The sequence below is a fragment of the Homo sapiens genome, chromosome 20, assembly GCF_000001405.40.
Source record: "Homo sapiens chromosome 20, GRCh38.p14 Primary Assembly".
Taxonomy (NCBI): domain Eukaryota; kingdom Metazoa; phylum Chordata; class Mammalia; order Primates; family Hominidae; genus Homo; species Homo sapiens.
In genome coordinates this window covers 64,100,799-64,125,040 of record NC_000020.11, presented here as the reverse complement: position 1 = coordinate 64,125,040, position 24,242 = coordinate 64,100,799, and the positions used below count along the sequence as shown (strand labels likewise).

The 24,242-nt window shown below is 58.3% G+C and overlaps 1 protein-coding gene across 1 annotated transcript, besides 6 other annotated features; it reads left to right on the top strand.

Annotated features, from left to right (window-relative positions):
• Positions 728 to 1,927: an enhancer, noted in NCBI's record as "BRD4-independent group 4 enhancer chr20:62754467-62755666 (GRCh37/hg19 assembly coordinates)". NCBI's record gives its function as "activates an origin of replication core promoter dependent on BRD2, P300/CBP, MED14 and CDK7 cofactors, and independent of BRD4, by STARR-seq in HCT116 cells {active_cell/tissue: HCT116}" and the evidence as "EXISTENCE:reporter gene assay evidence [ECO:0000049][PMID:35650434]".
• Positions 4,294 to 4,793: an enhancer, noted in NCBI's record as "H3K4me1 hESC enhancer chr20:62751601-62752100 (GRCh37/hg19 assembly coordinates)". NCBI's record gives its function as "activates a minimal SCP1, AML or CMV promoter by ChIP-STARR-seq in naive H9 embryonic stem cells {active_cell/tissue: H9 hESC(naive)}" and the evidence as "EXISTENCE:reporter gene assay evidence [ECO:0000049][PMID:30033119]".
• Positions 4,331 to 4,625: an enhancer, noted in NCBI's record as "tiled region #6051; K562 Activating DNase unmatched - State 5:Enh". NCBI's record gives its function as "activates a minimal TATA promoter and a strong SV40 promoter by Sharpr-MPRA in K562 cells {active_cell/tissue: K562}" and the evidence as "EXISTENCE:reporter gene assay evidence [ECO:0000049][PMID:27701403]".
• Positions 15,261 to 15,444: a silencer, noted in NCBI's record as "fragment chr20:62740950-62741133 (GRCh37/hg19 assembly coordinates)". NCBI's record gives its function as "represses an EF-1alpha promoter that drives an FKBP-Casp9 reporter gene in an ReSE screen in K562 erythroleukemia cells {active_cell/tissue: K562}" and the evidence as "EXISTENCE:reporter gene assay evidence [ECO:0000049][PMID:32094911]".
• Positions 17,428 to 17,928: an enhancer, noted in NCBI's record as "H3K4me1 hESC enhancer chr20:62738466-62738966 (GRCh37/hg19 assembly coordinates)". NCBI's record gives its function as "activates a minimal SCP1, AML or CMV promoter by ChIP-STARR-seq in primed H9 embryonic stem cells {active_cell/tissue: H9 hESC(primed)}" and the evidence as "EXISTENCE:reporter gene assay evidence [ECO:0000049][PMID:30033119]".
• On the top strand, positions 17,476 to 21,239 carry NPBWR2 (neuropeptides B and W receptor 2). Its single transcript, NM_005286.4, has 2 exons — positions 17,476 to 17,677; positions 18,119 to 21,239. The coding sequence occupies exon 2, from the start codon at positions 18,210 to 18,212 to the stop codon at positions 19,209 to 19,211; it is 1,002 nt and encodes a 333-aa protein (NP_005277.2). The 5' UTR covers positions 17,476 to 17,677; positions 18,119 to 18,209; the 3' UTR covers positions 19,212 to 21,239.
• Positions 23,110 to 23,611: an enhancer, noted in NCBI's record as "H3K4me1 hESC enhancer chr20:62732783-62733284 (GRCh37/hg19 assembly coordinates)". NCBI's record gives its function as "activates a minimal SCP1, AML or CMV promoter by ChIP-STARR-seq in naive H9 embryonic stem cells {active_cell/tissue: H9 hESC(naive)}" and the evidence as "EXISTENCE:reporter gene assay evidence [ECO:0000049][PMID:30033119]".

Below are 24,242 nucleotides of genomic sequence, written 5' to 3'. Positions count from 1 at the left end.
ATTAGCTGGGTGTGGTGGTGCACACCTGTAATCCCAGCTACTTGGGAGGCTGAGGCAGGAGAATCGCTTGAACCCAGGAGACAGAGGTTGCAGTGAGCCGAGATAGCGCCACTGCACTCCATCCTGGGCAATAGAGGGAGACTCTGTTTCAAAAAAAAAAAAAATGAAATCCTAAGGCCCCCACCAACTCAACAGACCCCCTCTTGGCCAAGGGAACCCCAGAAAACCTTAAAAACTGAATCCCTGGCCATGATGGGAAGGGAAGTTGGACACATCTCATCATACATCTCAGGCATTAATGTTAAAATAGATTTCATAAGACCAACAAAACAAACTATTTGTGACAATAAGATATCAAATTATAAACAGGACCTAAGGCTGTGCCAGACAGGAGTTAAGTCACACACCCCTATGGGTTAAGAAGCTTATATCTTAACTCAAAACATTCCTTTCTGCTGACTCCAATTTTTTAATTAAACTTTATACCTTTAACCAGTTGCAAATTAAAGAATCTCTGAATCAACATATAACCTGTACACCCTGCTTCAAGATACCCTGCCATTTGGGGCCAAACCAATGTCTACCTTCTATGTATTGATTTCTGTCTTTGCCTGTAACTCCTGCCTCTCTGAAAACTATGAAACCAAAGTATAATCTGACTGCTGGGGGCACACTTTCTCAGGACCTCTCAAAACTGTGTTCTCCAGGCTTTCTCAGGAAACTCGAAACTGTGTTCTCCAGGCTTTCTCAGGACCTCTCGAAACTATGTTCTCCAGGCTTTCTCAGGAAACTCAAAACTGTGTTCTCCAGGCTTTCCCAGGACCTCTCGAAACTGTGTTCTCCAGGCTTTCTCAGGAAACTCGAAACTGTGTTCTCCAGGCTTTCCCAGGACCTCTTGAAACTGTGTTCTCCAGGCTTTCCCAGGACCTCTCGAAACTGTGTTCTCCAGGCTTTCCCAGGACCTCTCGAAACTATGTTCTCCAGGCTTTCCCAGGACCTCTCGAAACTGTGTTCTCCAGGCTTTCTCAGGAAACTCGAAACCATGTTCTCCAGGCTTTCTCAGGAAACTCGAAACTGTGTTCTCCAGGCTTTCCCAGGACCTCTTGAAACTGTGTTCTCCAGGCTTTCCCAGGACCTCTCGAAACTGTGTTCTCCAGGCTTTCTCAGGACCTCTCGAAACTATGTTCTCCAGGCTTTCCCAGGAAACTCGAAACTGTGTTCTCCAGGCTTTCTCAGGACCTCTCGAAACTGTGTTCTCCAGGCTTTCTCAGGACCTCTCGAAACTGTTCTCCAGGCTTTCTCAGGAAACTTGAAACTGTGTTCTCCAGGCTTTCCCAGAACCTCTCGAAACCATGTTCTCCAGGCTTTCTCAGGACCTCTCAAAACCGTGTTCTCCAGGCTTTCTCAGGACCTCTCGAAACCGTGTTCTCCAGGCTTTCCCAGGACCTCTCGAAACTGTGTTCTCCAGGCTTTCTCAGGAAACTCAAAACTGTGTTCTCCAGGCTTTCTCAGGACCTCTCGAAACCGTGTTCTCCAGGCTTTCCCAGGACCTCTCGAAACTGTGTTCTCCAGGCTTTCTCAGGACCTCTCGAAACTGTTCTCCAGGCTTTCTCAGGAAACTCGAAACTGTGTTCTCCAGGCTTTCCCAGGACCTCTCGAAACCATGTTCTCCAGGCTTTCTCAGGACCTCTCGAAACCGTGTTCTCCAGGCTTTCTCAGGACCTCTCGAAATCGTGTTCTCCAGGCTTTCTCAGGACCTCTCGAAACCGTGTTCTCCAGGCTTTCCCAGGAGCTCTCGAAACCGTGTTCTCCAGGCTTTCTCAGCACCTCTCGAAACTGTGTTCTCCAGGCTTTCTAAGGAAACTCAAAACTGTGTTCTCCAGGCTTTCTCAGGACCTCTCGAAACTGTTCTCCAGGCTTTCTCAGGAAACTCGAAACTGTGTTCTCCAGGCTTTCTCAGAACCTCTCGAAACTGTTTTCTCCAGGCCATGGTCATTCATATTGACTCAGAATAAACCTCTTTAAAATATTTTACAGAATCTGTTTTTTTCCATTAACGTTATTGAGTTTTGAGAGTTCTTGATATACTCTGGATACAAGTCCTTTATCAAATATGTGATTTGCAAAAATTGTCTTACAGCCTTGGGCTTGTCTTTTCATTTTCTTAGCAGTGTCTTTGGAATAGCAGAAGTTCTTAGTTTTGATGAAACATCTTATTTATTTGATGGATTATGTTTTGATATCCTATCTAATAATGTTTTGCCTGATCTAAGTTTGCAAAGGTTTTCTTCTATGTCCTCTTATAGAAGTTTTATAATTTTAGCTTTTACATTTAGGTTTATGATCCATATTGACAATATTTTAATATAGTACAAGGTATGGATCAAAGTTCATTTTTTTGCATATGGATATCCAACTGTTTAGCATCATTTACTGAGAACAAAACTTGCCTTTATTGAATTGCCTTTGCAGCTTTGTTGAAAATCACTTGCTCATATTTGTGGGTCTATTTCTGGTATCTCTAATTTGTTCTATTGATCTGTCTATCTTGATGCAAATACCACACTGTCTTTTTTTAAAATATTATTTCTTTTATCATGATACTTCTCTTTCTTCTTTCTTTTTTTTTTTTTTTTTGACAGTGTCTCACTCCGTCACCCAGGCTGGAGTGCAGTAGTGAGATCTCAGCTCACTGCAACCTCCGCCTCCCAGGATCAAGTGATTCTCGTGCCTCAGCCTCCTGAGTAGCTGGAATTACAGGTGTGTGCCACCACGCCTGGCTACATTTTTTGTATTTTTAGTAGAGACGGGGTTTCACCATGTTGGCCAGGCTGATCTCAAACTCCTGACCTCAAGTGATCCACCCACCTCAGCCTCCCCAGGAGCTGAGAACTCTGGCAGGGAGACTCTGTGGTGTAGGAACCCCAGGTCTCCAGCCATGTCTGAAAAACAGTGTTAACCCACGGCTTCACCCCAGCTTTGAAACACCTGGGTGTTCTTCAGAAATACCTGCTATAGTTTGGACGTTTGTCCCCGAACCTCATGTTGAAATTTAATCCCCGATGTTGGAGGCGGGGCCTGGTGGGAGGTGTTCGGGTCATAGGGAAGGATCCAGAATGAATGGTTTAGTGCCCTCCTCATGGTGATGAGTGAGTTCTTGCTCTATTAGTTCCCACACGAGCTGGTTGTTTTAAAAAAATCCTGGCATCGCCCCTCTCTCTCGCCTCTTCTCTTACCATGAGACACCTCCCGCCATGAGTGCACGCTCCCTGAGGCCTCCCCAGAAGCAGGTGCCGGCACCGTGCTTCCCGTACACCCTGCAGAACCGTGAGCCAAACAAACCTCTTTTCTTTATAATGGCCCAGCCTCTATCCTTCTCCTCACCTAGGAAAAAGAAAAAGAAATTACCCAGCCTCAGATATTCCTTCATAGCAACACAAAACTAGGACAACACTGGTGCCCAGGCCCCAGCCCAGACCAAGCACATCAGAGCCTGGGCATGGGGGTGGAACCAGCTCCAGTGAGCTCCTGAAGTCCCCAGGGGATTCTGTGCACATCCAGGGTGGAGAACTTGGCCGTAGACAGTCCAGACAAAAATATTCTTTATACGATTAGCACAGAGTTGTTGTTTAAACTCAGTGGTAAGAACAGAACACAAGAGTTTTAACAGGAGTCATAGTTTTCACCATTAAGAATCTTTACCTACTATTGGAATCCAGGTACACACATTTACCCTGGGGTTTAATTTGCTGTGTAAAATTGACTTGGTTCTTTTACAAATTGCTGGCAAGTTGAGGTTGGGGCCACCACAAAACAAGTCTCTAGCAAGACAAAGAGCATAGTTGTGTGTTTGGGTCTCTCCACACCAGAATGGAGCTCCTTGTGGGCAGAGGCTGGCTTGCCCCTTGTCTTAGTCTGTTTCCTGCTGCTTATAACAGAAACTGGGTAATTTAAAAGAAACAAAATGTATTTCTTACAGTTCTGCGGGCTGGGAAGTCCAAGGTCAATGGGCCACATCTGGTGAGGTTTTCTTGCTGGTGGGAACCCCAGAGTCCCAAGGCAGTGCAGGGCGTCGCATGGTGAGGGGCTGAGCGTGCTGGCTCAGGTCTCTCTCTTCTTATAAAGCTACTAGCCCCACTCCTATGATAACCCATTAATCTATAAATAAATTAATCTATTCATGAGGGCAGAGCTCTTGTGACCCAATCACCTCTTAAAGGCCCCACCTCTCAATACTGCCACATTGGGGATTAAATTCCAACTTGAGTTTTGGAGGTGACAAATATTCAAACCACAGCATCCTTAAATCATCAGAGACTGGCCTGCCTGCCCCCATGTCCACTCGAAAATGAATGCCGCGCAAGCCCCCACCCCCACCCTACTGAATGGTCCCTTTTCCTCTGCAGCAGTTCTCGGAACTGGCCACTGGGGGTCAGGGTTGGTCCGCGTCGCACAGAACCTGGCTCAGCCAGGAGCCACAGGAAGGACCCTGTTCCTCTACCCCAGCCAAGGGAAAACGGCGGCCCCTCTGTGGTTCAGCAGAGCTAGTCCAGGAACAGTGGGGCTTCAAAGTGCTTCCCCTCCATGGCAGAGCCAGCGCTGGCCTGCTGGTCTCCCAATTCTTTGCCCAGGCTAAGAAGGGCGCACACACACACACACACACACACACACACACACACACTCTCTCTCTCTCTCTCTCTCTCTCTCTCTCTACCTCCGGGAAGTTCTCCCTGCCTGTGGCTTGCAGCTTGCTGCCGCTCACCAGCCTCCCGTCCTACTCACAGCTGACTTGAGGTCAGTGCTCCCTCCAAGCATCCACCTGAGCTGCCCAGGCCCAAGGCCGAAACCCCAGACCAGGTCCAGAGCAGCACGGGCAGGTGGGACCTCAGATGGGGCTGGCCCAACACGTGCAAGCCTCCAGCCTGAGGCAGGAAAATTACGATCCCCATTTGACAAGTGAGGAGACAGAGGCTCAGAGAGGTTGGGTAACTCACCCTGGGCCACACAGCAAGGAAAAAGCCAGTCCCAGACCTGTACTCCTGACCTCCACCTGGTCTGCTCCCCTCAGGAGACTATCTAGGCCACAGTGGCACCCTTGACTGGCCTGAGTTGGGAGCACAGGTCCACAGGGCTCTTTACCCGGTTCCACGGCAACAGTCCCCAGGCCACATACCTATGAGCACAGTTTGGACAGTGGAGCAGTCTCTGGCCCGACCACAGGCAGCACCCCAGGAACTCCACGTGCCTTCGGGGTGCACTCAAGTGGGTGGGGAAGAGGGGCCTAGAGCTCCACCTCAGCCTCCTTTGTCCTGAGTGAGCAGGGCCCCACTCACCTCCCCGAGCAGCCAGAGATGTGACGGAGCCTCTGTGGGCAGAAAACATCTCCCAGGTGATAAGCAGCAGGTATGAGGTCTCCCTGGTGAGAGTGTGAGCTCCCCACATTCAACACTGCCGGAGCCCTGAGAGGAAGCCACAGGCTCTGGGAAGCTCCGTGCGGAAGCTGAGTGCCCTGTTGCTCCACGGTTAGCAAGCACGCTCCAGGGAAACTCCATCAGAGCCTCCTGTTCCCATCTGCTAGATGGGATGACAGTAGTACTGCCCCTGGCCATTGTGGAGACAAAATGAAACACGGATGTATCTTTAGCTGTCAGCACCCGGCACATAGGAGGCATTCAGAACCAGAGACAGACCAGGAGGAGGCTCAGATCCCAGGAGTCGGCAAAGGTGGAGATGGAAGGAAGTGAGGTGGGATGGGGCCCAGCCATGCTGGAGGAACTGGGGCTGTCTTCTGGCTGAGCCCAGGCCTGCCCCCCTCCCGACATCAGGGTGCCCTCATGCCCCACACAGCTTTGCCCAGGCCCTCCCCACCACATCAGGGTGCCCTCATGCCCCGCACAGCTTTGCCCAGACACCCCCCCCCACATCAGGGTGCCCTCATGCCCCGCACAGCTTTGCCCAGACACCCCCCCAACATCAGGGTGCCCTCATGCTCCGCACAGCTTTGCCCAGACACCCCCCCCAACATCAGGGTGCCCTCATGCCCCGCACAGCTTTGCCCAGGCCCCCCCGCCACATCAGGGTGCCCTCATGCCCTGCACAGCTTTGCCCAGACACCCCCCACCATATCAGGGTGCCCTCATGACCCGCGCAGCTTTGCCCAGACACCCCCCCCCAACATCAGGGTGCCCTCATGCCCCGCGCAGCTTTGCCCAGACACCCCCCCCAACATCAGGGTGCCCTCATGCCCCGCACAGCTTCGCCCACGCCCCCCCCCGCCACATCAGGGTGCCCTCATGCCCCGCGCAGCTTTGCCCAGACACCCCCCCCAACATCAGGGTACCCTCATGCCCCGCACAGCTTTGCCCAGACACCCCCCCCACATCAGGGTGCCCTCATGCCCCGCACAGCTTTGCCCAGACCCCCCCACATCAGGGTGCCCTCATGCCCCGCACAGCTTTGCCCAGACACCCCCCCCACATCAGGGTGCCCTCATGCCCCGCACAGCTTTGCCCAGACCCCCCAACATCAGGGTGCCCTCATGCCCCGCACAGCTTTGCCCAGACACCCCCCCCAACATCAGGGTACCCTCATGCCCCGCACAGCTTTGCCCAGACACCCCCCCCCACATCAGGGTGCCCTCATGCCCCGCACAGCTTTGCCCAGACACCCCCCCAACATCAGGGTGACCTCATGCCCCGCACAGCTTTGCCCAGACACCCCCCCCAACATCAGGGTGCCCTCATGCCCCGCACAGCTTTGCCCCGACACCCCCCCCACATCAGGGTGTCCTCATGCCCCGCGCAGCTTTGCCCAGACACCCCCCCAACATCAGGGTGACCTCATGCCCCGCACAGCTTTGCCCAGACACCCCCCCCAACATCAGGGTGCCCTCATGCCCTGCGCAGCTTTGCCCAGACACCCCCTGCCACATCAGCGTGCCCTCATGCCCCGCGCAGCTTTGCCCAGACACCCCCCCCCAACATCAGGGTGACCTCGTGCCCCGCACAGCTTTGCCCAGACACCCCCCCCAACATCAGGGTGCCCTCATGCCCCGCACAGCTTCGCCCAGGCCCCCCCCCGCCACATCAGGGTGCCCTCATGCCCCGCACAGCTTTGCCCAGACACCCCCCCCACATCAGGGTGCCCTCATGCCCCGCACAGCTTTGCCCAGACACCCCCCCATCACGGTGCCCTCATGCCCCGCACAGCTTTGCCCAGAGACCCCCCCACATCAGGGTGCCCTCATGCCCCGCACAGCTTTGCCCAGACAACCCCCCCCACATCAGGGTGCCCTCATGCCCCGCACAGCTTTGCCCAGACACCCCCCCAACATCAGGGTGCCCTCATGCCCCGCACAGCTTTGCCCAGAGACCCCCCCCAACATCAGGGTGCCCTCATGCCCCGCACAGCTTTGCCCAGGCACCCCCCCACATCAGGGTGCCCTCATGCCCTGCACAGCTTTGCCCAGACACACCCCCAAAATCAGGGTGCCCTCATGCCCCGCACAGCTTTGCCCAGAGACCGCCCCCAACATCAGGGTGCCCTCATGCCCCACACAGCTTTGCCCAGGCCCCCCCGTCACATCAGGGTGCCCTCATGCCCTGCACAGCTTTGCCCAGACACCCCCCCAACATCAGGGTGCCCTCATGCCCCGCACAGCTTTGCCCAGGCCCCCCCCCACATCAGGGTGCCCTCATGCCCCGCACAGCTTTGCCCAGGCCACCCACACACACATCAGAGTGCCCTCATGCCCAGCACAGCTTCTCCTGGAGGGAACACTTTCTCATATGTCCCCCGGGTAGGCCCTACTGATAAACAGTGTGTCCAGGACCAAGAGATTTCCTGGGATGTGGGGCATTCAGTGCTAAAACCTGGACAGTCCTGGGCCAATCCAGACTGTTGGTCACCCTTCCTGCAGAGGGGACATAAGAGGTCACAAGGTCACCAGGCTGATGCTCCTGAGAGGGCACAGCCAAGATGGACACCAAGTCCTGTGCTCACAGTATCCTCACCCGGCTGCCATGGCTTCTGGAGAGCAAGGCCATGGCTTGCCATACATGTAAGCGGGGTGGGGTCTGGGCCGGGCTGTGACTCCCCTCACCCAGACTAGGCAGGGACACTCAGCCTCCCCCAGCAGAGGGTGGCTCCTCAGGCTTCAGGAAGAGGCCCGAGAAGGAGGAGCCCCAGGGTCCAGGGCTGGAGACAAAGCTCAAAAGACGCACAGCACAGACACAGCGCTGGCCTGGAGTCCGGGGGGAGGCGGAGAGGGGCCATGATGAAGAGTTTAGAGAGGGCCCTGGGCACAAGAAGTGGGGCCCGACCTGGGCGGGAGGCAACCATTCAGCTGAGGCCTGGGGCTGAGCTGGCGTCCCCAAGACCCCCTGTGCAGTGGGCCGTGGCCGGCCTCCCACACCTCTGTCCACCTCTGTCCACCTCCTCTGTCCCGTCCCTAGGCTTGTCTGGACTTTGCTCTCCTCCAAGACTGCAGCCATGAAGATCCTCATGCCACAGCCCCTGCAGACCCTCATCTCCCTTCAGGGGGCCTCCAGCCTGAACCCTGGCTCCCCTTGATCCCCACCCAGCCTTTCATACGGTGCCCTTGCCCAGCCCAGAGCCCTGACTGCCTAGGTCTGGCCCAGACCACGCTTTTGGCTTCTGCATCAAAAGCCATTAAGCTAAACGCCATCACCACTCTTCCAAGACTGCCGTGTTCTTTTAAATCATCCCATAAACACAAGGCGGATGGTGACGTGGCCCACGCCATGCCCCGCTGAGGGTGGGGTCCCGACTCCCTCAGGCTCCCAGAAGCCTCGGCCAGATGAGGGGCGGCATCAACCCGGTGAGCCCGAATTGGCTCAAAATTCCAGAAGCCAAAAAGACGACAGCGCGGCGTGAGAATTGTTGGCACCACAGCTGCAAGCACCAGCCGGGTGTTGGCAGCAGCCCCATGCCCCCACCTCCATCCCCAGCACAGGGTGGCAGCCCGAAGGCCACAGGACCCAGCCGAGGGCACGGCCCGGCTTCCGCTACTGACTTGGCCTCGTCCGTTGATGACTGAGGCCACGGTTGTGGGGGTGGAAGGTGAGGGAGCTGCCCAGTCCTAGATTCAAACCTCTGTCTACCCCCTTGGGTACCGAAAGCTATGGTGACCACAGAGCCTGCACAATTAGACTCATTACAGGCACGTCTGCTGCAGGACCTGCAGGCCGGGCAGAATCTAGGTCAGCACAGGGGAGGGCCAGATCCAGCTCCTGCCCTTCCCCACTGCAGACCACATTTTGGAGCTGGATATAGGCTGAGGTCACAGGCAAGGAAAACTGCCCCGCAAGGCCACGTATACCACCTCACACCTCACCTCACCTGCGCCACCGCACAGCCGTGCCACACCTCACCAACGCCAAGGCACACCTGTGCCACAGCAGCAGCCTGGAGCCACCACGTGGCTTTTGTACATGCCCAGCTCCAGCACATGGACGTCTGCACAGCCACCGAACCTCAGAACCTCAGCAGGGATGCAGTTGCTATGACAACCTCAAGACTTTAAAAACCTGCTCCTGCCAGTGCTGCCTCTCCTGGTAAAAGCCTCCTCCACCTGCCATCCCTGCGACATCCCTGGGGATGGAGGAGGGAGGCCACTGAAGACCTGGTGTGATGTGGCCTACTGCCCTGGGCTGAGCACACTGGGATGGGGACAGGGTGGACCCGGAACCTGGCCCAGGACTCCATGGAGGGCTATGCAGGAGAGACAGATGTGTGTGTCCTGAAGGGCATGTGACAAACAGGGCCAGGACAAATGGAGAAACTGAGGCCCCTTCTGACTTATAAAGGTTTATCTGCTTCTCAGAGCTGAACCATCATTCACAGCTCTTTCTAGCTCAGTTCCTCTGACAAAAAAAAAACCATCACAGACTCTGGAAGTGGAGCCTATCCCCCTGCATGGTCAAACGTTCTGGACTGGGTAGAGCTGCAGTCCTCAGCTGGGCCCCCTCCTGGCTGCTGCCAAGGCAGTAGCAAAAGAGTCCCATCCACAAGCCCTGGACAGAGGTACCACCCCAACCCCTGCCAGGTCCCAGCCCAGTCTGAGCCCCCAGCACTGAGCCCAGGGCCTGGCATGCAGGGCACATTGGTTACATGGACCAGCAGAGGTGCTGGGAGCAAAGGGGTGGAGATAGGAACCAGGGCAGCCCATCAGCAGGAGGTCCAGGGAGGAGTTGGCCCATAGCGGGGTCCCCAGAGCTGAGGGTGACTCCACTCCAGTCCTCGCCGGTGCAGCAAAATGTCTAGCTCTGTGCAGAGAACGGGGATTTGGAGACAGAGGATACAACATGCACCAGCCAGGTGCCACCTCCCAGCACTGCCCCAGCTGCCCGCCCGGCAAAGCTCTTCTTCAGGGTCCTCACAGCTACACAGATTCACCTTCGGCATCCCCCGTGCCACAGCCTGCCTGAGATTTCATCACAGCAGGATCCCTGCTCACTGGCCACAGAAAGGCGTGGGCCATGGCCCTTCCAGCCCTGCAGCTGCTGGCTCCTCCTAGATGCTTGCCCAGTGACCCTCCCGAGGCTCCTCGAGCAGAGAACAGGGTCAGGAACAGGCTCCCCCGAGTGAGAGGTGCCCTCCTGGGCTCTGAACCTTATCAGAGAGACTCAGGGCATGTCCACGGGACGTGTGAGCAGGAATGTGTGCAGCCAGCACATGAAGCCTGAAGTGGGGCCCAAAAGTGCATCGAGTCATGCATGCAGACGTGTGTGGGTACAACGATGTTAGCCTTGCATGAGCAAATGAGACAGGGCATGTGAACATGACACATGGGGGCTGGATGCCATGAACACGGGGAATGAAACATGCGTGTGCACCGACGCCAATGCTGCAAGGATGCAGGGCAGCAAGCATGTGGCTGTGGGACTCTGACCCTGACCCGGCCACTGCCCCTAACTCTAACATTCCACCCCACCCCTGACCCCTCTCCAGCAGGGCCTGGTCCCACACCGCCACCCAGCCTTCCCCAGCCCAGTTCGTCTCACAGCAATCAGCTCAAGAGAGCCCCACCCCACCACCCACAAGCAATGGCTCCTGGCCTGAAGACGACCTGGCAGGCAGGACATGGCAGGTGCTGATCTGGAGAAGGTCATGCAACAATGGAGTGTAAGCGTGTGACCATGTGTGGGAGGGCAGGTGTGTACGTGCTGGCATCTGTGTGCTTGTGTGTATGTGTGTGCTAAGGTCTGTGTGTGCTGGAATCTGTGAGCAGGTGTGTATGTGCGTGTGTGTGTGTGTACTGCAGTCACAGCACGAGGATCAGCCAGTCCCCGGGGGTAGCTGAAGCTTCTGCCACAGGCTCAGGCCACTATCCATCCTTTGAGGTCGGGGTTTGTGCCAGGCAGGTTAGAAGGGGAAGAGAATGGGCAAGGTCAGAAGCTCCCTCACCTCCAACAGGGCCCATCATTCCGACCCTACCAGCTGCCAGCCTGGATCTGTTCTCTCCTGTCTGGATGTCCCCAAGGTGAGAGATCCAGAAAGGGTGGTGGGGGCTGCCTCACCCAGCCTTTCTCCTCCAACCTTCCCACCCCTCCTCATCTGCCCACGACGGAGAGCCCGGTCCAAGGTCAACAAATCTAGCCCCTGGAGCATCCCAGAGCTGCAGCCCATACTCCCCAGGCCCAGAAACCAGCCACGTAGGCACGGTCCTCCTGTGGAGGGACACGGACTGCCGGCCTACAGGGTTGTCTCCAGGCCAGGAGCCAACAGGCGAGTCAAAAGCCTCCAGATCTGGGCATGCATCAGCCTTTCCCATCTGAGGATCCTTCAGCAAGAATTCACGGCCTGACGAGAAAGCCAGACATAGTCCACGTCAGGTCTCGGACACTCCTGGGCCCTCTATGGGGGCTCAGGGCGCTCTGCCACTGCAGGCACCGGTGAAGGATGTCACAGGACATACACACACTCCCGCCCAGCCACATGTGTGTCCACACGCACTGACACACCTGAATAACCCCCTCCCCTGGAGACTCAAAGGCGCCTGCACCTGCCTGCCCACTCTGCCCACGATCTCCGAGTGGCCACAGCTGCTCCCAGCCCTGAGGACAGAGTGAGACCCCCTCCAGCCCTCTCCTACATCTCCAGACACACTGAGATCACCCAGGGACACGGCCCTGAGGCCAGGCACAGTGACACCTCCTCAGTGAAGCCCTCTGGGATTGTGCCTCCAGAGAGCACCTGGAAGCTTCCAAACTCAGGGCGGGCCCATTCCAGGGCCTATGCCTGGTTATTAGGGCCTGGGACTGGACAAGGCAAGGAGAACAGGGAGCAGTCACCACTGGGGAAGACTGTCCTGGGGGCCTGCTGTCCTGTGCTTGGATTCGGGTCTTTGTGAGTGAGCAGGAGGCTGCAAGCGCTTTGATAATTGATTTAAGCAACCCTCCCAGCCCCAAGAGGAGACAGGCCTGGGCCCTAGGGAACAGTCGCCCTCCTTCCTGTCTGCGTGCTTCAGTCACGATGGGATCTTTGCACCAGGCTCCCTGAGCCTGCCGCCTACACGCGCCTGGGGCGGCAGGAGGCATGTGGGTAGGGCAGGCACAGCTTTAGCAGATGAGGTTCAGAGATGAGAGGGAGGCCTCGGTGCCCCAGCCCCAGTAGCCCTGTAAACCCCTACTTGCAGAAGGCCTTGGTCAGGGTGGGGGCTGCCCACAGGCAGGCAGACCTACACGCCACCGTGACCTCCGGCTTCCCTGCAACAGCCACTTCCCCAACCTGCTCAGGCCTCTGCTCCCCCAGCTGTCACCTCCAGAACCTCTGGCTTTAGGACCTGGTCCCAAGGGCCCTCTTTCCCCCAGGGGCCTTGCCCCCACTCGCCCAGCCTCCCCGACCCACTCCGGGTTTCAGCACAAGCGTTGCCTTCTCTGCAAGGCCCAGTGGCCTCCTGCTGCCCCCAGAGCTCCCCTTCCTCCTGCTCCACAGTGCACTGCACTATTTCATCTACCATCTGCTTCCCCCACCAAAGGGCCAGCCCCACGAGAGCAGGAATTGTTCCCTGTGCTCACCGCAGTCCTCCTGGGCAAGTGTTTGTGCAGCAGATGAATGACTCAGGGCCTAAGTTCGGGTATTTGGGAGGTGGCTGAGGACCCAGTCTGGCTACCCTGGCCCCTCTCACCTGCCCTGAGCTAAGGTGCCCGGTGTCTATGGTCCTGTCTAACATGACCTCCCCTGGGGACAGTTCATTGCTGACTGGACGGGGAAAGAGAGAGGCAGCGGGTGCCCCGAGGTATGGTGGGGAATCCTGAATTTAAATGAGAAATGGCCCCTTCCCAGTTTTATAAATAAAGTGTGTTTTCTCCCAGCTTCCCTGGAGAATTCACCTCCCACTCTGAGGGAAACTGGCCCTGAATTACTTATCTCTTTCGAGAGAGCTAAGCTGCCCAATTACCTGCTTAGAGAACACCAGGCCTGGAACTCTCGCTGGTCTTTTTTTTTTCCTTGTGACAGGGCCCCACTCCGTCACCCAGGCTGGAGTGCAGTGGCACGATCTCGGCTCACTGCAGTCTTGACCTCCTGGGCTCAAGCGATTCTCCCACCTCAGCCTTTCAAGCAGCTGGGACTATAGGCATGCACCACCATACCCAGCTAATGTTTGTTTTTCTGTTTTTTTTGAGACAGAGTCTCGCTCTGTCCCCCAGGCTGCAGTGCAGTGGCATGATCTCGGCTCAATGCAACCTCCGCCTCCCAGGTCCAAGAAATTTTCCTGCCTCAGCCTCCCGAGTAGCTGGGATTACAGGCACCCACCATGACGCCCGGCTAATTTTTGTATTTTTAGTACAGACGGGGTTTCGCCATGTTGGCCAGGCTGGTCTTGAACTCCTGACCTCAGGTGATCTGCCCACGTCGGCCTCCCAAAGTCCTGGGATTACAGGCGTGAGCCACCGCACCCGGCCTTTTGTATTTTTTTTGTAGAGATGAGGTTTCACCATGTTGCCTTGACTGGTCTCGAACTCCTGGGCTCAAGCAATCTGCCCACCTTGGTCTCCCAAAGTGCTGGGACTACAGGTATGAGCCACCGCCCCCGGCCCTCTCACTGGTCTTAATGGCCTAGGCCTCTTGGGAGGACTTAACCTGCAGGGCCACAGCTACAGTTGAGGCTCATCTTGGAGAGCTGATGGAGGAGAGAGAGCAGGGCAGACAGGCCTGGACTCTGGCCACAGGGCAGAATCCACCCCTCCTACCAGGGCCTGCCTGGCTGGAGATGAGATGGTCAACAAGCACACTGGAGTCTGTATGAATCTCTGGGTCTGTATGCCTGCTACACATATGCATGCCCGTGTGAAGATCCAAGTCGCAGCACGGACTGAGGGACAGGTGTCCCTGCACACAGGGGGACAGGTGGAGGGCAGCTGCCACACCTATGTGAAGCGGCAACAAGCGTGAAGCCAGCACAGCTATGTTGTGTGTTGCTCAGGCTGTCCCAGGGTCCTGGCGCTTCTCCCTGGCCCCTGCCCTAGGGGTCTCCTTCAGGTCCCTGCAAGACCCCCACACGCAGCCCCACAAAATGCTCAGATGCACACTGACTGGCACCCATCACTCCCTCACCCCACACCCCAGACAGAGGATGTGCCATGTCAGTGGCCTTGCTGTCAGGCCCCCACCACCGTTCTGCCCAACAGAGCTGACCACGGCTCCCTCCCTCCCTGGCCTCTCCTCTCTTCACCCAAAGGGCCTCACAGGTTCATTTGAAAAGGCCAATTTATTTCTGAAAATGGAAACCATTTCCACAGAACGATGCTCTCACAAGCTCACAGCTGGCTGGAACAATGCCCAGCCCACGAACAGAGCAAAGGGCCTTTCTGAGCCCTGAGTGCTGGGGGTACAGACGGGGGAGCACCCCCGGCTCAGGCCCTGGTGTTGCAGCGGGCATCGGTGAGGTGCTTCTGGGAGGAGGAAAAGGCCCCTGGGGCTGCTGCTTTTGTGGCCAGGAGGACCTGACACCTCCAGCCGGCCTCCCCGGGGTCCTGAGCTCAGCACCTGGCAGTCTCCCCCATCCCCACTGCCCTCAGGGTCCCCATCCCTTCCATCATGCGCACCCCACCTCCAATGTGACCGGCGGGCGGTGGTGCCAGACCAGCCTTCAGGACAGGCTCAGGAGAGCAGAGCTAGAGTCTGGGAGGGGCTCCGATTCCCAGACTCACCAGATACCGGTGGAGGGAAGAGGACCCAGACTCGTGGTTGGCTTCAGAGGAAGCCAGACACACAGTGGGATCTTTGCATGGGAAGATTCTGTGCTCTGAGGGATGCCTCTGACACTGGGCTCCCCACTACTGAGGCTTAAGGGAAGACCCTCCTGGAACACCCTGCTCTGAAGAAGGTGTGGGTGGCAGTCGGTATCCTGCAGGGCAAAGACCAGCAGGGGTGCCCAGAGCTCAGGCCACACGGGGGTCACTGGGCAGGCTGCCAGCCAGCCCTGGGGGGCAGAGGAAGGCACCGGCACTAGCCTGGGCCCCTCCCAAAATGCATGGAAGGGAGAGGCCCCCAGCAATGCCCCCAGGGAGGCCCAGAGTCAGGCAGTGTGGCCAGCCCCACCCCAGGACAGCAGCTCGGTGACAGCAGGCCCCCAGGGAGGCCCAGAATCAGGCCAGCGTGGCCAGCCCCACCCCAGGACAGCAGCTCGGTGACAGCAGGCCTGGGACATTCTCCCAGTGCCCGGTGCTGAGGCCATGGTCGGCCGCTCCCCAGCCAAGACCAGTGACCGCCTGGCCCAGCCCACACCCTGGTCAATGCCTGGGCCACCACATGCCAGGCCTGGCCTCTCTGTGTCACGCCTCTGGTTTCCAGGAGCTGTGAACTGACCCCTCCCGACCCCACGAACACCCCAAATCACAAAATTCAGCCCCAATGCACCCTCTCCTCACGGCTGCTAATCACCATCCCCTGACCTTGTGGGCGTCAAGCTCCACTTATGTGACAAACTGTGGCTACAAGCCCCACGCTCCCTCGAGACACACCCACAGATCCCCCCCACCGCCATCCCCAAACTGGCTGAAGAGGAGTGTGAGATATCTCAGCAGGGTTCCCTGACCCCGGACTCAACATCCACATGGCACAGCCCATAGAAGGGTAGCTCGGGGCCCACCCACAGTGTACCCTCAGGCTGGCGACATCAGGGTACTCAGGGCGACTGCCCAGGCTCCTGTCCTAACCAATAGACTTGACAGAGCAACTCTCAGGAAAGAAGGCCGACCATGAGTGTGCGGTGACATCCTTGCAACCCCACAGGCAGCGGGCACAGTCTCGATGGGCAGACACATCTCCCCAGACTGAAAACACACAGTGACCAGGCACGGTGGGTCATGGCTATAACCTGAGCACTTTGGGAGGCTGAGGTAGAGGCTGAAGCTCAGGAGATCGAGACCAGCCTGGGCAACATGGTGAAACCCCGTCTCTACAAAAAAAAACACAAAAATTAGCCAGGCATGGTGGCACATGCCTGTAGTCCCAGCTACTTGAGAGGCTGAGGTGGGAGGATCACCTGAGCCCAGGGAGGTCAGGGCTGCAGTGAGCCATGATAGTGCCACTGCACCCCAGCCTGGGTGACAGGGCAAGACCCTGTCTCAAAAAAGAAGAAAGGAAAGAAAACACAGACCCTCTGACCCAACACGTCTCCGCTGAGGAGCGGCTCTGAGACTGGCGACTGCTCGTGTCAGCTGTGGCGTTGCCTGCAAAGCAGGTCCAGATGCGGCCGAGCTGCACACACACGGGTTGGATAAGCCAGGGTGCGTCCAGCAAGGAAGAAAAGCAGGGAGAAGGGAAGGACTTAAAGACCAACCCAGAGCAGAGTGTGATGCTCACCACCTCTGCAGGACGGCGGGAGAGTTACGTGTCAGCGTGAGAACGTCTTCTCTGCAGCCTTTCACAGCTTGCCTAGGCTGAGTTCCTCTTTTAGCAAAAGACAAAAAAAGAAGGTGGGTTGCCTATGGCCAACAAGTTCTGCTTCCACATGAGGGCATACAGACCCCCCAGATGCCCACACTCAGCCAAGGACATGTAGACCCACTCAGATACAACGCAGAGCTCACCCACAGAGACCCCCATACAGGCAGACACAGGCCCACACACGTACATGTCCTAACTGGCACACACACACAGGAACACACCATGTACACACACAGGGTGGGGCAGGAGACCCACCAAGACACCCATGTTCACAGATAAGGGTGCCCAGGCCCACAGTGACTCCCGGACAGAGGCACAGATGCCTTCAGTGCCCTCTGCCCGAAGACCTGGGCACACCCAGAGGCCCCTGCATGGAGTCCCTTCCTGACACACAGGCGCACACGTGCCTCAGCCGCCCACTGAGGAGTCTGCCTGGGTAAGTGAATGCTGAGGAGACCCTGGGACAGCCGACTGCAGGCGCTACTGCAGCTCAGGGGAAGGTGGGGCCTGCCTTCCGGGCTCCACGTCAGCAAGGGGGATCCGCCTCCCTCCCTCACCAGCATCAGCACTGACACCAGGCTGGGAACCTCGCAGCCGGGGCTGAGGCAGCCAGCAGGGCAGGTCTTGAAACTCCTGAAACCTCAGCTGGAGGTCTGTCAGTGAGGACCACACCTCGCCCTCCATCCCTGCGACTGCCTGTACTGGCCAAAACCAGGAACACACCAAGGCTACCAACTTCTGGACTCGAAGCACTGGACAGGTCAGTGGAGAGAAGAGTAGCTGGACCAGCAGGGTCTGCAGCATCTCTCGGGAGGGTGTGAGGGAGGGTGCAGACTCCAAGACCCCTGAGGGAAGGACCTTCAGATTCAAGGGAGCCAGAGATGAGCTTGGGAGGTGTGTTTCCAAAGGGACCGCTTGATTCTACGCAGCCCGTGCATCTGCGGGTTGCTGGGGCAGGGACGGATCCACATCTCTTCCCAGGAGGGTGGCCAGCAGCTGCTCTCTGCGGGAGGAGGGAACTGATCTGCTGAAGTCTCACCAGGAAGAGGCGGGAGGAGGCCCCCACACACCCCACCAGGCTCCCTCTGGCCCCATGTCCTTGACCTGGCAAAGTGGCCGCAGTCTCTGCCAGAGAACCTGGAGTGGCTGTGCCCTAACAGACGGCCGGATCTCAAAGTCTCTGGTTGTTTTTCTTTCCTAGAATCCAGCCCAAGGAGGCCCCCAACCAGATACCCAACTCCAAGGCACCTCCCACCTGCCCAGGGCGCAAATCGTCAACGGTCCCAGCTACAATGCAGGCCGCTGGGCACCCAGAGCCCCTTGACAGCAGGGGCTCCTTCTCCCTCCCCACGATGGGTGCCAACGTCTCTCAGGACAATGGCACTGGCCACAATGCCACCTTCTCCGAGCCACTGCCGTTCCTCTATGTGCTCCTGCCCGCCGTGTACTCCGGGATCTGTGCTGTGGGGCTGACTGGCAACACGGCCGTCATCCTTGTAATCCTAAGGGCGCCCAAGATGAAGACGGTGACCAACGTGTTCATCCTGAACCTGGCCGTCGCCGACGGGCTCTTCACGCTGGTACTGCCCGTCAACATCGCGGAGCACCTGCTGCAGTACTGGCCCTTCGGGGAGCTGCTCTGCAAGCTGGTGCTGGCCGTCGACCACTACAACATCTTCTCCAGCATCTACTTCCTAGCCGTGATGAGCGTGGACCGATACCTGGTGGTGCTGGCCACCGTGAGGTCCCGCCACATGCCCTGGCGCACCTACCGGGGGGCGAAGGTCGCCAGCCTGTGTGTCTGGCTGGGCGTCACGGTCCTGGTTCTGCCCTTCTTCTCTTTCGCTGGCGTCTACAGCAACGAGCTGCAGGTCCCAAGCTGTGGGCTGAGCTTCCCGTGGCCCGAGCAGGTCTGGTTCAAGGCCAGCCGTGTCTACACGTTGGTCCTGGGCTTCGTGCTGCCCGTGTGCACCATCTGTGTGCTCTACACAGACCTCCTGCGCAGGCTGCGGGCCGTGCGGCTCCGCTCTGGAGCCAAGGCTCTAGGCAAGGCCAGGCGGAAGGTGACCGTCCTGGTCCTCGTCGTGCTGGCCGTGTGCCTCCTCTGCTGGACGCCCTTCCACCTGGCCTCTGTCGTGGCCCTGACCACGGACCTGCCCCAGACCCCACTGGTCATCAGTATGTCCTACGTCATCACCAGCCTCAGCTACGCCAACTCGTGCCTGAACCCCTTCCTCTACGCCTTTCTAGATGACAACTTCCGGAAGAACTTCCGCAGCATATTGCGGTGCTGAAGGGCCTGGGCACCATCACCCCCATCATCATGCCCATCATCACCCCCCATCATCATCACGCCCATCATCATCATGCCCACACCCCCATCAGGCCCACCCCCCCCCACCCCCACCACCACCCCCACCATCACCCCCACCACCACCCCCATCATCACGCCCATCATCATGCCCACCCCCATCACATCCACCATCACGCCCACCCCCATCACCCCCACCCCCACCATCACGCCCACCATCACCCCCACCCCCACCCCCACCCCCATCATCACGCCCACCCCCCCCACCACCCCCACCATCACCCCCATCATCACGCCCACCCCCACCCAGTTCCGGCTGTCTCTTTCAGGGGACGCCCGGCCTGTTCACATCCCAGTGCTGTCCTCTCCACGCAAGGAGACACAGACCCTCACACGCTGGCCACCAGACCTACAGACAGCCGTGGGCATATACCTCCCATGTCTCTGCTTCCTGGACAGCCCCTGGGTGGACAGCAGCAGGGATCCAGGTCCTGGCAGAGGCCCCCACACAGCAAGCATCCCGGGCCCACTTACCCACGAGAGACAGACAGATGGACAAGCCCCTTGGAAGGCTCTGGGACTCAGGATCCCTAATGACAGTGGTCGGGAGGGGAGGGAACCTGAACTGTGATCTTGACCTGGGCCACGTTACATAGTCTCTCCCCAAGATGGGGCCGGGGGGTGGTAAGTGCGGGCACCTCAGGCAGCAGCGATGCTGTGTTGCTGCAAAGGCGGACACCTGCACCGCATGAGACCCAGAAATCCACTCTCGTGGCCTGAAGCCCAAGTGGAGTTCCAGCAGGAGGCCCAGCCCCGCCGTGCCCATGTGCCATGGCCTGTGCTGCTGTGTTCCCCCTGCTGTGGCCGACGGTCCTTGCCATGGCCTGTACCCGCCCTGCTGTGTCCGACAGTCCTCTCCATGGCCTGTGCTCCCCTGTGCCCCCCTGCTGTGTCCGACGGTCCTCTCCATGGCCTGTGCTCCCCTGTACCCCCCTGCTGTGGCCGACAGTCCTCACCATGGCCTGTGCTCCCCTGTGCCCCCCTGCTGTGGCCGACAGTCCTCACCATGGCCTGTGCTCCCCTATACTCCCCTGCTGTGGCCGACGGTCCTCTCCATGGCCTGTGCTCCCCTGTACCCCCCTGCTGTGTCTGACGGTCCTCTCCATGGCCTGTGCTCCCCTATACTCCCCTGCTGTGGCCGACGGTCCTCTCCATGGCCTGTGCTCCCCTGCTGTGGCCGACAGTCCTCACCATGGCCTGTGCTCCCCTGTGCCCCCCTGCTGTGTCTGACGGTCCTCTCCATGGCCTGTGCTCCCCTGTACCCCCCTGCTGTGGCCGACGGTCCTCGCCATGGCCTGTACACCCCTGCTGTGGCCGATGCTCCTCTCATACTTTACTAGAGGCTACAGGGCCCTTTTGCCAGGACCTCTGGGCCACCACAGCCTAGGGACCATCCATCACTTGGACAGGCTGGCACCTGGAACTCTCTCTCCCGGGGTGTGGCCAGGGGCTTGTAATCAGCCAGCAGGAGCTGCATGCTGAAACTCTGGTGGGGGCAGGGTGAGGGGTGGTAATGAAATGCAGGCAGTTCAGAGACCGCTGACTGTCAGGTGGGAGGGGCCAGGGGTTGGTCCCAGGTGTGCTGTGGCCAGGCCCCGACTCTTGGCCCCATGGCTCTCAGCTGGTTCCATGCCTGGCATTCCAGCCTGGCAGTGAGGTGTGAGTGTTCTGGGTTGGTTTCAGTCCTCATGACCCAGAGCTCTGATCAATCTGTCCAGCCGGCACACAGGACCCACCATTCACCGCCCCACGAGGTGTCCCAGGGTGTATGCCCACCTCCACCCATCCACCAAATACTCCAGCGTTCCAGCCCACTCGGCTCAGGCCTGCAGCAGTGCCCCTCCTCCGTGCTAGCCAGCCAAACACGCCACGGCCATCTCCATCCACTTATCCTCCCTGACAACATTGTATTAGATATCTGTTGCTGAATAACAAATTTCTCCAAAACTTAGCCGCTTAAGACAACTTCTACTATTTCACTTCTGTGGTTCAAGAATTAAAGTGGCTTTTTGGGTGGTTCTGGCTCAGGGTCTCTCCTGAGGTTGCAGTCAGGACCTTGGCCCAGGCCCTGACCCTCTGAAGGCTGGGCAGGGGCTGGGGTATCTTCTTCTGAGAAGTCTTCCTTCCATGGCTATGGGCAGGAGGCCTCTGCTCCTCAACACATGGATGCTTCAGGGGCTGAGTGTCCTCGAAACATGGCACTGGGTCCCCCAGAGCCAGCGACCCAGGGAGGAGCCAGCGACCCAGGGAGGAGCCAGCGACCCAGGGGGGAGCCAAGAGGAAGCCTCAATACATTTGAGGCCAAGATTCCGAAGCCACTTGCCTTCCCTTCTACTACATTCTGTGCATTGGAAGCAAGTCACATGTCCAGCCCACACTCGGGGGCTGTAGACGGTTTATTTTTCTTTTGCTTCAATTTTTTTTTTTTTAATTGAGAAGGGATCTCACTCTGCTGCCCAGGCTGGAGTGCTGTGGTGGGGTCACGGCTCACTGCAGCTTCGACTTCCTGAGCTCAAGCAATCCCCCCACATCAGGCTCTGGAGTAGCTGGGACTACATGCGTGCGCCACCACGCCAGGCAAATTTTTCTTTTTTTTGAAAGACGGGGTCTCACTATGTTGCCCAGGCTGGTCTCAAACTCCTGGGCTCAAGTGATCCTCCTGCCTCAGCCTCCCAAAGTGCTGGGATTACAGGCATGAGCCCAGTCTGTGGGCAATTTTTAAGCCACCACCAACACCGACACCGCAGGAAGAACAAGCTGTCCCTGGATTTGTTTCCTGGCTGCGCTGCAGTCACACCTCGCAAAGCAGCAGCACGGCAGCCTGACTGCGCTCTGCACGCTGTTACGGTGCCCCGGAGCCCCTTGAGGAGACAAGTGAGACTGTGTTTCCCAGACACCCGCTCCAAGCCCGCGGCAGAGCCAGGTGTGAGGCGTAATGAGCAAGTGAACAACGAGGGGCGGGCAGGAGAGGCCCGGGCGTGGGAATGTGCGCAAGGCAGGACTGAGAGTGAGCACCGCGGGGTGGGGGGCGGAGGGGGCGGGGGAGCTTAAGGAGCGCCCAGGCAAGAGCCCCTACAGCCCTCAGGGCCGAGGTCTCCCACCCTGCCCCCAGTTTGCCCTCCGGCCCCAGCCGGGCGTCTCTGCTGCAGAGAAGGCGCCAACCAGGATTCCTCCAAAGAACCCGGACCCCTTCTTACCTCGGGCGTCTCCTGTCCCCATCCACAGACCAGCAATGGGATCCTCAGCGTCTTCTCCCCGGGGACCAGGCAGATCCGGCACGGCCAAAGGGTCTGCAGACCGCCCCGCGGCCAGCCGGGAGGGAGGGGCGGGCGAGCTCTCCCCGGGAGGCGGGTCCTCCCGCTCCGCGGACCTCCTGACACGGGGCGGGGTGGGCGCGGGGCAGGGGCCGCACTGAGCGGCTCAGCCCGCCACGTCTCCACGCTCTGGGCTCCTGGTCCCAGGAGAGCCCGGCCCCGCCACCCGCTTTAAGACCCCGCTAGTCACCGCGGTTCCCGCCGCAGCGCCCCGGGGCCCAAGGCTGGGCCCGCGTGAGCCCACAGCGCCCCCTGGAGGGAGGGTCCGAGGCCGCTGCTGAAGCCCCGCCTTCCTGAGGTCGGACGCGACCCGGGACCCTCCCGGGCGCCCCAGCCTTCCCCCACAACCCCACAAAGAGGGTTCTGCGGTCCCCTTTGCACACGGAAGGAAACCGAGGCTCAGAAAAGCCAGGCGACTTGACCAAGCCCGACAGCAGAGGTGGGCTGGGGGAGCCGGGGGCTGGAGAGGAGACCCAGGGTGCGGTCAGAGGAGGGGTGGAGTGGGCCGGGGTGGAACCCAGTCCTGGAGGGCAAGGGAGCTAGTCAGCTTCCAACGCCCCCCAACTCCTCCTACGGCCCTTGGCCCCTGTCTGGCCAGCTCCTTCTGGAAGACACTAGCTGTGGGCTTAGCCCTGGATCCACACCCACCCGAAGACAGGACAGTCCGCACCATGTGTGAGCCTCCTCTACCAAGACCATACCATCTCCCGGGCCCAAGGGCACAGTAACTGCCCCGGTGCAGCCTCTCCCTCCCAAATTGTCCCTTGATGCTATATTTTTGCTTTGATGGCAATGTGTTTGTTATGAACTATTTGTGTTCCTCCAAAATTTGCATTTTGAAATCTCAGCCCCCCAAGCTGATGGTATCAGGAGAGGGGGGCCTTTGGGAGATGACAGGTCATGACGGCAGAGCCCTCCTGAATGGGATGAGTGCCTTTAGGAAAGGCACGCTCTCCAGCTGTCAAACCCATGTCATGACATAGTGAGAAGATGGCCCTCTGCAGCCTGGGAGCGGGTCTTCCCCGGAACCTGACCGTGCCTGCACCTGATCTCAGATCTCCAGCCTCCAGAACCATGAGAAATAAACATCTGATGTCTCTATTGCCACTGAGTCTATGGTACTTTGCTATAGCAGTCCAGGATAAGACAGTGTCTGTCATTCAAACCTACAGAAAATCCTACAGAACTTGCCCATCTGCCCATGCCCTGGAGACGAGTACTTGGACTGGAGTGTGCCCGTGCCCACCCTCCAAAGCTGCTCTGTTTTGCAGGTCGGCCTGGGCTGAACTGGGCCAAACAGGAACCAGGAGGCAGATGTCCATGGCAAGAGTGTACCCAGCCCTAGAGGAGGCCGTCTGCTCATCCTTCACCAAAACTCCCCTCAGATCTGCTCAAGGAAGGGGAAATGAGCAGGAGCAGGGGTTCTTCTGAGATGAAATGGGGGTAAGAAAACCCTGCAACCTGGGTGGGAGCAGCACCCTCCCACTGTATCCTCAGGAAACCTCTCTTTCCAGGGGGCAGGGGAGAGGTGCAGCCATCGGTTGTTTAGAGAGAAACCGTGTGTGCTGAAGAAAAGGTAACAGCCCGGCCAACACACCATTAACTGGCTTCAACTCTCCCCAGGGTTGCAGCCTCCTGGG